The 14,962-nt window shown below is 36.9% G+C and overlaps 1 pseudogene across 1 annotated transcript in view; it reads right to left on the reverse strand.

Annotated features, from left to right (window-relative positions):
- ANKRD20A8P (ankyrin repeat domain 20 family member A8, pseudogene) overlaps nucleotides 1-14,962 on the reverse strand; it is a 96,148-nt pseudogene that overhangs the window by 58,720 nt on the left and 22,466 nt on the right. Inside the window, exons 7-10 of the transcript NR_003366.2 lie at nucleotides 12,360-12,441; nucleotides 9,523-9,551; nucleotides 9,359-9,431; nucleotides 3,357-3,427 (exon numbers count right to left, since the gene is read on the reverse strand). The product of NR_003366.2 is annotated as an ankyrin repeat domain 20 family member A8, pseudogene (transcript). The remainder of the gene's footprint in view (nucleotides 1-3,356; nucleotides 3,428-9,358; nucleotides 9,432-9,522; nucleotides 9,552-12,359; nucleotides 12,442-14,962) is intronic.

Here is a 14,962-nt window from a genome sequence, read left to right on the forward strand (position 1 = left end):
TAACTGCATTATCTACTGATAATGGGAGTCAAACCAACCAAGACATATTAAATGTTTCATCCAGAGCTCTTGAGGTGGCATTCACTAGCATTTCATGGCACCATATAACATGATACAATTCCATATTGCTGAATTACATAAATTGCCAGATAAATTTATCAAATTAGTCAGATATATTAAAAGTCTAACCTTGAGCAAAGCAATTTAATGCCTCAGAGGGTGGAAAAAGGCCTCATCTGCTTTTACTTTGAAAGAAGAAAATCTCTAGATTTTTGTCTATCTTTAGAACACAATGTACAGAACTCAACTTTCTACTAAAGAGTCAAAGGCTAAATTTTTGGCTAAGAAATTATGCTTCTTATATGATAAAAATCATACATGCCAAAACTTACCATACTTTATTAAACAACATAATGTAAGGTCTGATTCAACAGAAATATTGCAGAATGGTGATTTTTTAAAATATGTGTAAGTATATGTTTGTTTTCAAAAATATTGGAAATAACTATGATGGGACTGTAAGTTCAAACAGTTTGAGCTAAGCAGATAAACTTGCATGCATGAAAACACATTAAACAGACTCATTTGGCTGGGAATATTCGTTGCAAATCTCAAGGCTAGATGTGTTTTTGTGGCTTGTCTCAGTCATTGCTTCCCTCCCATTGTATTCCCATTCTATCATTAAATAAATGTAAATCATCTCTAAATGAATACAGAAAAAAGAATCTAGAATCTAGAGCTTGTTTCTTTAGCAATTTCTTTATGTTGATCTGGTTCAGAAGGTCACATGGTATGTGGCTGAATTAGTTTCCCAGCTCATACGCCACTTGGAAGACTGATAGTGAGACATAGGTTGATTAATGAACAAACATTATGAGAACATTCTCCAGAACCATTATTTAGATAGCAGAACTAATCTACTTTGACACATAATTACACATTTAGATAACCCCACTGTAACTGTACACATGAGATTTTCTTGAATAGAAAATTTGACTAAATCAAATAATTGATAAAGAGGAAAAAGCAGCAGCAAGTGAACCTCTATCTTTTTGAAGTTGGACTTGCTTTTCTCCAAAGCCAGGAACTCAACTTGTAACATGCCTACCTCATTCTTTTTTTATTATTATTATTATAGTTTAAGTTCTGGTACATGTGCACAACATGCAGGTTTGTTACATATGTATTCATGTGCCATGTTGGTGACCTTGGAATATATTCCCATAAGTCTTCTAGCTATATTTTTGATGTTCTCTCACTATGTGGCAAAGAATAACTCACATTTTATAATTCAAGATTCATGCTTCTGTAGTTGTTAGCACTGGGACTGCCATATAGTGGCTTCTGGAATAAACGCTGTATTGGTTTTCTGTTTTCATTAAGTATCTGTAGCAGCAGAAATACTGTGGCTTTCTATCTGAATCATATGCTTCATTTCTTTGGGGTGGGTAAACAACAAATCAAAAAGACTTTCTGGATCTCTAGACTGAAGCCAATGCCTAATGTCCAATTTCCAATTAGTGGTATCTGGGTTTACATTTTTTGCCATTTGCATGTCAAACTCTTAATCATCTTTCATTTCAATCATAATTACTGGGTTCCTTAATTTTTTGGTTTCTGTATCATTACAAAAATTTTCATCATCTGTGTTAGAAACAAGCTATGTGTCTGGTTTGCTATCACTTTTATAGTCTGATTTATTTTCATTTAAATGAAGCTTAGAAGATGACTGGTAACTGTATTTCAGGGACCTGGAGTATGAATGGAATAAAAAGACATTTGACATGGGCTTCCTCTGTTCAGGCGCTGCCTGGACTGCCACAGAGTTGGACCCTCCAGATGCATCTTCCTCCTCACAATCAGGGACCTGATTCATCAGATTAGAGGGCACTCCTTTTTTGTTCGTCCCTCTTTAGAGTTACTACATAGGAGCTCTTCCTCAGGGCAAGCAGTAATTCTGGAGTTTTCAAAACTTTCACCAATATTCAGCTCGAACTTGTTTGTAATGAATTTTAAAGAAAGTCGTGAATATACAGACAGATTATTCCCTTTATCACAATTCTTACCCAGTTCTGGTTCTTGAGACTTTTTTTTTTTTTTGGCAGGTGCAAAATGGAAAACAAATTTGCTTGTTTTGTTTCTCAGATGTCTTTTCTGTCAGAGTGCATGTTTTAAAATTAGCTTTAATCAAGCATAAACAAAAATACTAGAAAATAATTAAAATTTAACTGTGAAACTTAATCTATGTGTTGCCACTCTTAAATTATAGGATTGTAACTAAAAAGTGAAAAATAATTTGCCTTGGCTTAACATAGGACAGAAATATGAACTGGCAAGCTGAACTCTTAGCATTTGTTTGGATTAAACTTAATGCATTATGTGTAAAATCTACCAGAAATGAATTCAAAGCTGATAGGTAGTATTATAAAATCTTCCCCTCTTACAAAGATTTTACCTCAGCATACCAGCAAAAGTGAGCCCCTACAGTGCGTGTATATTTCTGAAGATTAACTAGAGACTAGGGAAACACTGAATTATTAAGAGCCAAACTGAACACCAATAAGAAAGGGAAGCAAAATTTTAAATTCTAATTCAAATAATATACTATGATAGTGTTATGTACCTAGATGGATTTTCTGCTTGTATCCACTTCTAATGTATTTTAAGTTCCACTAGTGATAGTGGATGGATTTTTTAAATTTTAGTAACATTTACTATGTATTTATGTCAAAATAAAGTTATTGTTTGTACCCTGACACCAAAGGTCCCATTCCACAAGGTACGATTCTCTTAATAGGCAACTGGGTTGATTTTTATGACACCATTCACTCCCTGAACACAGACACAGAACTCAACTGGTGACCACAAAACAGAATAAATCTTTAAACTCGGCACTGGTGACCAGCAATACAAAACTGCAACATTTGAACCACTGGCAATGATGACTCCTTTAACACTACTTTAACTCAGTGGCCACTGTTGTTAAACTGTTCATAATTTCTATTCCTTAATAATATAACCCAATATTTCATGTTACCTTCTGTATTATGAGTAAGGTTATACAAATAAAAGAGCAAGATAATTCTGAAAATGTCTTGCCTCAATTCCAAGGGTAAAGACAGCTATGAGTTACTAGAGATAGTAAGAATTACCAGAATAACTAATAGTTACTAGAGATAGTAAGAATATCTTAAGTTTCATAACTGGTTAAAATGTTTTAAAAATTAAATATAAAATTATGATCTATTGGATTCTAAAGGTATAATCTAAAAGGTCATGTCATTTGGACTATGCCTTGTTACTAAAGAAAAAAAACAAAACCCAATATTAAACAAGAAACTTAAATGTTCATATACCTGTGGTTGCTTCTTTTCACTTCTTTCATGCCTTTCTTGCTCTTCCTCTGAAGCCACTGGTAAGGCTTGTTCTGTTGACAAATTCACTGGTTTAGTTCAAATGAACTAAGAACAGTTAGATAAAGACTATAATCTATATAAAAATAAATAGAGAATAACATTTCTTTGTATTTTATATTTTGAGAGTTTCAATGAAGCTTAATGTTTACTGAAATATTTAGTTCTTTAAGAAATACTTCTAATCATCCAAAACTTCAACAAACCACTTGGGGAGACACTAGATATCACCAGGTTCAAGCCATATGAAATCTCAGGGTCACTCACAAATTGTTCCACCCAACATAAATCAACAAAACTGTTAGAAACAAAACAAAATTTTGAAATACAGTCAAAATATACAATGTAACACTTTACTATACTTCATAACAGTATCTTTTTAACAAGACACTAATTGAGTTGGCAGTTACTAATAATTTGCAAAATTATTGTTGTTCATACCTTAATTAGTGTGCACCCCATTTTTTACATCGCAAATGTTTTCCCCTACTATTCTGAAAAATCTATTTTCATCTTTTAAGACTCAGAAAGTAGGCTGGGCATAATAGCTCACATCTGTAATCCCAGCACTTTGGAAGGCCAAAATGGGAGAATTGCTCAAGGCCAGGAGTTTAAGACCAGCCTGGGAACCATAGATAACCTTGACTCTACAAAAAATTGGACAGGTATGGTGATATGTGCCTGTAGTCCCAGCTACTCAAGAAGCTTAGGTGAGAAGATCCCTCGAGCCCAGGAGTTTGAGGTTGCAGTGAGTCTCGATCACACCATCGCACTCCACCCTGGGTGATAGAGTAAGAACTTGTCTCCAACAACAGAAAAAGAAAAAAAAAAGGCTCAGAATGCTGTGTGAAGTCTTCCTTGATTCTAGCTATCTTTCTCCACACACACGGGTATCTGCTTCATTGGAGTCCCTTAGTACTTTGTCAATTTTTCCAGTGTCACTTTACCACCTGAACTGCACATCATGTCTTAACATGTCGATCCCCTTTGCTGCTAGACTGTAGAGGACAATCTTTTGAATCATCTTTGTATAAACAGTCTTAATTTTGCTAAATAATTACTTATTGAGTTCCTGCTAAGTGTTAGGCACTGGGGTATAAGGAAGGAAAATAAAAGCTGTCAGGGATGGCTTTCCTAAAGATCATGCATGAGCTGAGACTTAGAGAGTAAGGTTAGCCAGATTAAGTGAGGCAGAGGGCAAGAAAGGGTGAGCACATGCCAGGCAGCAACAAGAGGGGGAGAGAAGCCTCCAAGAGAGTATGTATTTCTCTGCAAAAGAGGAATGGTGAGGGGGCCATTACCAGCAGCTCAGTAATTCCAGAGAAAAAGGCAGATGGGGAAAGGGCTGCAGATGGGGAAAGGGCTACAGATGGAGATTTGGGCAGAAATCAGTTTCCTTTTCTTTCCTTTTTTTGGGACAAGGTCTTACTCTGTCTCCCAGACTGAAGTGCAGTGGCATGATCTTGGCTCACTGCAACCCGGCCTCCCAGGTTCAAGCAATTCTCCTGCCTCAGCCTCCCAAGTAGCTGAGATTACAGGCATGTGCCATTACCACCTGCTAATTTTTGTATTCTATTAGAGATGGGGTTTCGCCTTGTTGGCCAGGCTGGTCTTGAACTCCTGACCTCAAATGATCCACCTGCCTCAGCGTCCCAAAGTGCTGGGATTATAGACACGAGCCACCATGCCCAACCCAGAAATCAGTTTCTGAAATCCTTATATAAAACTTTAAGATGCTTGGACATAGGTATTCAGGAGTGGTTCACAGATCTATTTGCATTAGAGATAATTAACTCTAATTATTGTGAGGAGCATAAAATTCTGAGGCACATAAATCAATGAACAAAGATAAAATATAAGGCAGTGTTGCAAAGATGCTGCAGGCCTGAGGAGATGTTTTCAGAAATATTTAGGATACAAGTATCAGTGGCCATTATAAGAATGAATTTTTATTGAATGAATAAATGTATATATCTGGGTCCCTGGAGAAATACACTCTGCTCATTACTTTACAAATTTTATCAAATGAGAAGTAAAATAATATACATAAACTGTTTCAGTTACTTGTATTTACTTTACACTTTTTCTGTTTCAGTTTTACTGTGCCAAGGAAATGCATTTGGGTTTTGTGGTGGTTGTTGCTGCTGCTGTTGTTGCTGCTGCTGCTGCTGTTGTTGTTGTTGTTGTTGTTGTTGTTGTTGTTTGAGATGGAGTTTCACTCTTGCTTCCCAGGCTGAAGTGCAGTGGTGCAATCTCAGCTCACCACAACTGCTGCCTCCCAGGTTCAAGTGATTCTCCTGCCTCAGCCTCCCGAGTAGCTGGAATTACAGGTATGTGCCACCATGCCCAGCTAATTTTGTGTTTTTAGTAGAGATGTGTTTCTCCATGTTGGTCAGGCTGGTCTCAAACTCCCAACCTCAGGTTATCTGCCCGCCTCAGCCTCCCAAAGTGCTGGGATTACAGGCACGAGCCACCGCGCCCAGCCATATATGGGGATTTTGTTTTAAAAGTTCTGTTTCCTGGATCTACCAAGCTCATGAGAAAATAGAAGCAAACAAGTCATTTGCATAGGTAAGAAACCTTGCATTTATACTTCGTCATCACTACTCTAGAAGATTATCATCATGTTATGTAAAATAAAATGTTAATTCTAGACATAAGGGGAAAAAGAAATTAAAACTATAGGGGTGAAAAAATATTGCATAATTTATTACTGTTGACCTGATCATATGACTGATTAAGGGCACTGAATTTAACTTGTATGTGAAGTAGACCCCATATTAGCTGCAGTTAATCAATAGACCAGGTATTCTAGCAGAATTAAATTTGATGCTCCTGTGTTATCTTTAAATGATACAGCTCTTCTGAAAACCCATACTCATAGTGCATGATTATCCATTAAGACAAGGTGATGGAATGTGTGAATACAGCTGAGGAGACACCACAAGGCAAACGCTCAATGGTTCCCATTAATATTGGGGAAATCAACATTATAATACAGAAAGCCATAGGCATTATTTAATATTTGGTTTTGGAAGGTATTTTTAGTGACAGTGCATACAGTTGTACCTAATAATTGCAAAATTAGAGATGTAAAAATAAAACAAAGGCACACTGTGTTTGAGTAGGAAATCTGTAGACGTCTAGCTGGTTTTCTATTCCAGGCCCAAAATTCTAAATATAATCATGGTACCCGCACACAAATTTATGTTAAATACCAACTTCAATGAAATTACTCTTTCTCCTCATTCTCTTTGTTATTTATATGTTGCTTTCCTTAAGGGAAGAATACAAATGCCTTGCTAAGAAGCATTCTGTTTGGTTGTAGGCTGCATAAAGGGAGTAAACACAAAGTACATTTGACCACAAAATGACTTTTTAAAAGCTAGAACTATGGTAGCATGAAGCCAACTGAGGTAATCTAGAATAAAATTTTCTATGTTTGTTTCCCTTCTTTGCTCTCTTTCTACTCTAATAACTGCGATTCACAGAGGTAATGAAGAGTATAATTCCCTGATAAAAACACAGCTCCAAGATTAATCCTTTCTTTAACTATGAAGTTCGCGGGTCCAAAGTCTTGTAGTTGCTGTCTGATTTTTGATCATGGATGGTGATACAGATATTTATCATCAACTCATAACTTCCCAAATCTTTGAAAAGTCTTACTATTGATGGTTCAACTAGTAGAAACATAATCTAAAATATCTGACAATAAAGTTTTTATTAGAATGTAAATAGTAATACAAATTGTAATAAGGTGTAAAAGTTCTTTCTTCACTGAAGCAGGACCATGATGTCCTGTACCCCACAAACACACTACTCCCTCATGGTCTAATGTATTTTAAAAGTCCTGTAATTGCTATTAACTCAGACAAGTTTACTTAACTTGTTCTAAGCTTCTGTTATTTACTACAATTTACTTTATCACTCAACAATCTCTATTATATATGTTGTTTTCCATGAGAAATTTTTTTATTAATAATTAGGATTCTTCAGGGATAAGAAAATATTTGAATAACTAAGTTTGTGCATAAACACATTAAGGTCAAATACCCATGACAATATTGTGTGTTTCTGTGTACTAGAGACAAAAACTTCAAAAAAAATTTTAATGAATATACATTAAAAACTGCTTTCATTACACTGAGATGATCTTCCCTCAATGCATGAATACCTTCAGAATTCACAAAGACCAAAGAATTGTATAAAATATAATAGCCTTAAAAATCTTATTTGTACCTGGCACAGTGGCTCCTGCCTGTAATCCCAGCATACTGGCAAGCTGAGGCAGGCAGATCACCTGAGATCAGGAGTTTGAGAGCAGCCTGGCCAACATGGTGAAACCCCATCTCTACTAAAAATAGAGCATTTAGCAGGGTATGGTAGCACATGCAGGTAGTATCAGCTACTCGAGGGGCTGAGGCAGGAGAATTGCTTGAACCCGAGAGGCAGAGGTGGTAATGAGTCAAGACCGAGCCACTGCACTCCAGCCTTGGTGACAGAGCAAGACTCTGTCTCAAAAACACAAACAAACAAACAAAAAACCTAATTGTTCCCACATAAGTCTATGTTCACACAAGATCTGAAGAGTACACAACACCGTGAGACAGGACAGACATAAATTTTAAAAGTTATATTCTGGTTTCTGTAAAAATAAAACGGTTGAATTTAAGCTTTTAAGACAAGTCAAGGAAAAGAGCAAAAAATGCAAAAGTGAAACTTGAAAGGTCATTTTCCCATCAAGGGCTCATGATCCACTGGACATTCACAAACTATATTGTTCAAAACATTAGTTCTGAATTTTGATCTGAGTATCCCCGGAGTTGCAGTTTCATTCAAAGATGTCCAAGAGGTCAAATAAGACAATATCATTTGCTATTTTCAGTTTTCTTTTTTGAGAACAGCACAACAAACTTCTTCAGAGAAATGAATCGTCCTAACTTCATAGGCTAAAGGCTCATGAGTCACAGTTCTAAGGGCATTTATAAAATATGGTGGTGCATGCTTGTATTCTGAACTTTTCAACTTTAAACTCTCATATAGTAAATATTAATAAATACAAACTGATTAAAGAAAAGCCCACTTAATCTGACATTATTTTTATTTTTCTTTCTTTCTTCATTTATCAGCAACAGGAGAGTCTAACTAAATGTGGTAAAGTGGTATAAGGGAATACAATGAAAAGTGTAAAATGAATTAAACCAGAGATAATCATATCAATGTGGATACATCTGGAAAATATAATACAAAATACACCAAAGAAAGTGGCAGAAAGGTATGTAAAGTGTATAACCACTCACATACCATTTTGGGACACAAATAAAAAATTCTGCATATTATTTCTGAGCATCACAATATAGTTAAAGATTTCAAAAGGGCATTGAAATGAAAAACAACCAACTTATGATGTCGGTAGCCTCTATGCAATCATGTTTTAAAAACCTTAACACCAAAAAGTCTCAAAATCACCATTTTAAAAGACTGTGTCTACCAGTTACAAATGAATCATTACTTTCCTCATTTTTAATAGTCAAAGATGCCACAAACACACAGCAGCAAGCCTCTAAAGTTAAAACAGAATCTGACATGTTAATAAGTAAAGCTTTCCTCTAGGTAAAGATCAGAACTCCAAGTAGCACTTAACTCACTGGAAATATCTTAGAGTCTCAAAATTCACTGCTTTGAATCCCTGACAGGTATAAAAATTTTATACTGAAAACTTCATGCTATTCAAAACATTAAAAGAGAAACATCTGAGTTAAAGCTTACATTTTTAAAATCTTTTTTATGCTTCTAAATTTACTTTTATTCAAATATGGATACCAACAATAACATTTATGTCAATGCCTTCCATTCAATTTTAAACAAATAGAATTAGGAATAAGAATAATGTGAGTACTTCCAATCATTGAATGTACTTATTTCCAGTATTCCATTAAATGTACCTGCTCTCAATGTCTGTACATTCTTTCTTTGTACTGCTCCTTTCACAGCAGGATCTTCCACTCCAGTGGTAGGCTGAATGGGTTTTAAAAGAAAATGATTCATAAATCATATATGTTTTATACAACATGGAGTTAGTGATTCAAAAATATACATAATTAATTACCTTCAAGGAAGGATGTTTTGCAGGAGGCCCTACAAAGCAAAGGGGATATGTCATCAATTATATGTAAGTATGACAGGGCCAACCAAACATTCATGCAGTGGTACTATCGAGCTGAATTCTCATGCCTGGCTATAAAAATAATTACTTAAGGTTTGGAGGGTTCTTCTTGGCTTCTTTTCATTGCCTAGGACAGCAACATGACAGAAACATAATGAGGAAAATAGGAATATAGGATTCCTAAAATGCACAGTTTACATTTCAGTAGTGAGATTATGTTTCAAATGCCTATACCTAAAATAGAAAAGCATGGATATCACCGTGAACACATGGACTGATGAGGAGAAAAGGGACCATTAAACAGAGGAGCAAATCAAACCTGAGGGAATCGACATCAAAGCTGATGGTGAATGTACAGAGTATTTTAACTCAACACATCAGAGGCATTGCTGCCAGCATGCCACAAACAAATTCCCCTTGTCTTGTCACTGAGGAAATACACAGTTGGGATGACAGTTCAGGTGAATGTGTGATTCACCTCTCATCAAAGAAAGTGTTCTACATTGATCAGCTCTTATACACACTTATGAAATGACAGCTAATCAAACTACTCATTTTTCCCATGATCACATGGGCTACTGCAGCACCTACATTTCTCCTGTCCCCTCATTTGGCCTTCAATTAGAGCTCCTTGATCCACTCATGCAAGGCGGTCCATAAAACACATAAACCATGTCGAATAAGCTTCCGATATCAAAATATTTATCAAAAAAGAAAACACTGAATTACCACAGACTTGCTGGATATGAATACATATTTAATTTCAAAATCAGTGCAGTATTTATTGAAAAAGAGAATTTTGGTATTCACAGAATGAATTTTATAATATGATTGCTTCTAAAATTAACTAAGTTTGGTGTATTATCTTACACTGTAAAGGACTTTTATAAAACAGCTATCATATCAAAGAACTGGCTGTCTCAAAAAAAATTAGCCAAAGCATCTATATGCAACTTAATCACATCTTATTCCCTCATGTCAGTGAAACTTCTCTCTCTGAGGCCTGACAGTTATCAAGTGAAATGAGCTGCTGTGGTTTACCCCAACTCTAGCACTCCCTCCTGCCTCCAGTACTCTCCACAGCAATAACCTCTTTTGTGAGACTGGGCATATGCTGAAGCAACTGGAAGTGAGTTGTCTCAAGTTTACTTGGCTTCAACTCCCAAGACCCCAGCAAATGTCTTTCTTTCCTCCCTCCGTGTGCTTTCACAATCCCTCTTCCTTTGAAAAATTGATTTTTAGAACTGTCATCCTGATGCTTCCCTTCCTAACTGCTTTTTATGGATAATTGTGACCACTGACCACTTTTTTCATCTGTATTCAGCAGTAGTATACACCTGTAATCTCTCTGTTTTCATCTCATTCTCCTTCCTCTGTGGCTAGAATCATGCTCAGAAATAAAAGGAAATTAATGCTTTCCCTGGATTCTGTTATTTTTTAAATTGCTCTCCAATGGTTCTTTTTCCAGAGTTCTTTAAAGGAAGGCTATTCCCTTGCTATTCAGAGCTGTGTCCAAGGACCAGCACCAAAATCACCTGAGTACTCATGAGAAATGCAGACTCCCATACCTGCTGAATCAGAATGTGCACCTTCCAGAAGCTTCTCAACTAATTCATGACAATTTGAATGCCCCGTTCTACACTGATGTGCTTCCATATTGGTTTACCCTAATTGCCCTTTTGCCCTAGCCTCAATTTCTTCCCTATTATGTCCCTCAATTTAATACTACATTGTAAGCCATAATGTTTCTAATGAACTTTTAATCAGGCAATACTTCTCAAATTAATTTCTTCTCCATAAATCACCCAACACTATTCAATTATGTTAATTTGGCCTATATGATACTATCCTATGAGGTTACATTTTCTATAAAAACAAATTATAGCCATACATGGCTGACCATTTTTGGTGATGTTCATCTATGGTAGACAAAACACAGGTCTGTGTGGTGAGTTGCCTCAATCCTTAATGCCTCCCCAGTATTGAGGATGACAGCAAGAGAAGGAAAATGTTATTCTAATTCTCTGACACATTTTCGTACTGGAAGCTCACTTTATCTTCTTTCCTGTTTCTAACACCATGTTCTTCCTTCTTCTACAGATCAATTTGCCTTTACTATCCTCTATTACTTACCTCTGCATATGCTTTTTTATTTATTCCATGTACACTCCGCTCTCCTCATTCTTTCTTTCTCTTTATTCATTTCCTCTTCCCTCTCTCCTGACTTGCCTCAGGTCTTAGAGTATCTTAAAATGGAACTCATAACTCAGCTCCTTTAGTGGTACTCCTGATAGTATCAACTGCTGACCCTTGGTTAGACACACAACTTATCACCATTTCACTTCTCCTTTACTTATTATACAGTTAATAGGACACTTTCTTTAGCTATTACACTCTATTAGTGCTCATATTTTCAAATAAACATTCCATCAAATGACTTTTTTTTGTTTTGTTTTTTTCTGAGACGGAGTCTCGCTCTGTCGCCCAGGGTGGAATGCAGTGGTGGTATCTCCGCTCACTGCAAGCTTTGCCTCCCGGGTTCAAGCCATTCTCCTGCCTCAGCCTCCTGAGTAGCTGGGACTACAGGCGCCCACCACAACACCTGGCTAGTTTTTTGTATTTTTAGTAGAGATGGGGTTTCACCATGTTATCCAGGATGTTCTGGATCTCCTGACCTCGCGATCCACCCGCCTTGGCCTCCCAAAGTGCTGGGATTACAGGCGTGAGCCACCGCACCCGGCCTCCATCAAATGACTTTTTAAATAAAATACGGTTCTCACCTTCTCCTTGTCCATTGACTATTCTGTTTCCTTTTTCATGCGAAGGTCCAGGTAAAGGCTCTGACACTTTCTCGGGGACACACTGCTAAGGTAATATCAAGAATTAGTTTCCATTTTAAAATTATAATGAGTTGCATCAAGAGTTTCTTATCAATCTCTTTTTATGAAACTGGGTCTCACTCTGTCAACCCAGGGCTAGAATGCAGGGGCCTGATTATGGCTCACTGTGGTCTCAAACTCCTGACCTCAAGCAATCTTCCCACCTCAACTTCCTGAATAGCTGGAACTACAGGTGCGTACCATCATGCCATGCTAATGTTTTTATTGTTATCTTAGTAGAGACAAGGCCTCATTATACTGTCCAGGCTGGTCTCAAACTCCTGGGCTCAAGTAAATCTTCCACTTCTGCCTCCCAAAGTGTTGAGATAAGCAGTGTGCACCACCACACCCAGCCCTAATCAATTTCTTTAAATCAATCTCAATGCTGCCCAGGCATGGTGGCTCACACCTGTAATCTCAGCCCTTTGCAAGGCCAACGTGGGTGGATTGCTTGAGTTCAGGAGTTTGAGACCAGCCTGGGCAACATAATGAGAACACATCTCTGCTCAAAAAATACCAAAAGGAGTCAGGCATGATGGTGTGTGCCTGTAGTCCCAGCTGCTTGGGAAGCTGATGTGGGAGGATCACTTGAGCCTGAGAGGTGGATACTGCAGTGAGCCAAGATCATGCCACTACACTGCAGCATGGGCAACAGAGCAAGACCCTGACTCCCCAAAAATTTCAATTTAAAATGTGAGAATGAAGAGAGATACAAACAAAAAACAAACCTAATTGGTCAATGAAATATGAGCTTAAGCCAAGAAAGAAAAGAAACAGCATGAAGTACAATAAAGTACATGGGGAAATAGATCTATAACAGAGCCTTTTGCTCTTTCATATCCCTGATAATACTAATTAATATTTATGCTACAATTAGTTTTTTGTAAGTACTTCTGTGATAGAGTTTATTACTATAAGACATTCAATTAGCTAAATATGGTCATCGACCACTACCTGAAAGAACATTATTATAAGAGAGAGAGAAAACTAGAACTTTCAATCAGCTTTCCACCCAGAAAAAAATTGGTCACCAGAATTCTAAAGAGTAATGTATGGCAGACACATGAAAAAATGATCATCATCACTGGCCATCAGAGAAATGCAAATCAAAACCACAATGAGATACCATCTCACACCAGTTACAATGACGATCATTAAAAAGTCAGGAACCCACAGGTGCTGGAGAGGATGTGGAGAAATAGGAGTACTTTTACACTGTTGGTGGGACTGTAAACTAGTTCATCCTTTGAGGAAGACAGTATGGTGATTCCTCAAGGATCTAGAACTAGAAATACCATTTGACCCAGCCATCCCATTACTGGGTATATACCCAAAGGATTATAAATCATGCTGCTCAAAGACACATGCACACGTATGTTTATTGCGGCACTATTTACAATAGCAAAGACTTGGAACCAACCCAAATGTCCATCAATGATAGACTAGATTAAGACAATGTGGCACATATACACCATGGAATGCTATGCAGCCATGAAAAAGGATGAGTTCATGTCCTTTGTAGGGACATGGATGAAGCTGGAAACCATCATTCTGAGCAAACGGTCACAAGGACAGAAAACCAAACACCACATATTCTCACTCATGGGTGGAAATTGAATAATGAGAACACTTGGACACAGGATGGGGAACATCACACACTGGGGCCTGTCGTGGGGTGGAGGAAGGGGGGAGGGATAGCATTAGGAGATATACCTAATGTAAATGATGAGTTAATGGGTGCAGCACACCAACATGGCACGTGTATACACATGTAACAAACCCACACATTGTGCACATGTACCCTAGAACTTACAGTATAATAATAATAAAGAGTAATGTATGGCTTGAAAAGGTATATTTAATAGAACATGAGTTGGAGCTAATAAAAAGCTTAAGAAATGTTAATCTAAAATCTCAATGTTAAGATTCCAGTTGAATTATACTAGAAAATATATTGTAACCCTCTTTGCTACTGATGACCTATTTCTATTTTATTTCCTTTTTAATTATGGCATAATTTCTCAACATAACATATCAAAACTTATACACCCTTAAATATTAAAAAATACAATGTAAGCAATATTTTAAATACAATATTTAATTATTAGATACATTAGGTTTATTATATTACTTATAACATTCCATTATATAAAAATTCATTTGTCTATTTATTCAGATTAAACAACTATTAAGGCTGAATGTCTTATGCCTGTAACCCAGCACTTTGAGAGGCTGAGGCAGGCAGAACACTTGAGCCCAACAGTTAAAGACCAGCCTGGGCAACAAGGCAAAACCCTGTCTCTACAAAACTCAGCTGAGCATGGTGACACAGGTCTATGGTGACATAGCTCTATTGTTTCAACTACTGGGATGGCTGAGGTGTGAGGATCACCTGAGCCCAGGAAATGGAGATCGGAGTGAGCCAAGATCTCACCAGTGCCCTCCAGCCTGGGGGACAGAATGAAACCCCATCTCAAAAAACAACAAGTAAAATGCTTCTTACA

The sequence above is a fragment of the Homo sapiens genome, chromosome 2, assembly GCF_000001405.40.
Source record: "Homo sapiens chromosome 2, GRCh38.p14 Primary Assembly".
NCBI classification, from domain to species: domain Eukaryota; kingdom Metazoa; phylum Chordata; class Mammalia; order Primates; family Hominidae; genus Homo; species Homo sapiens.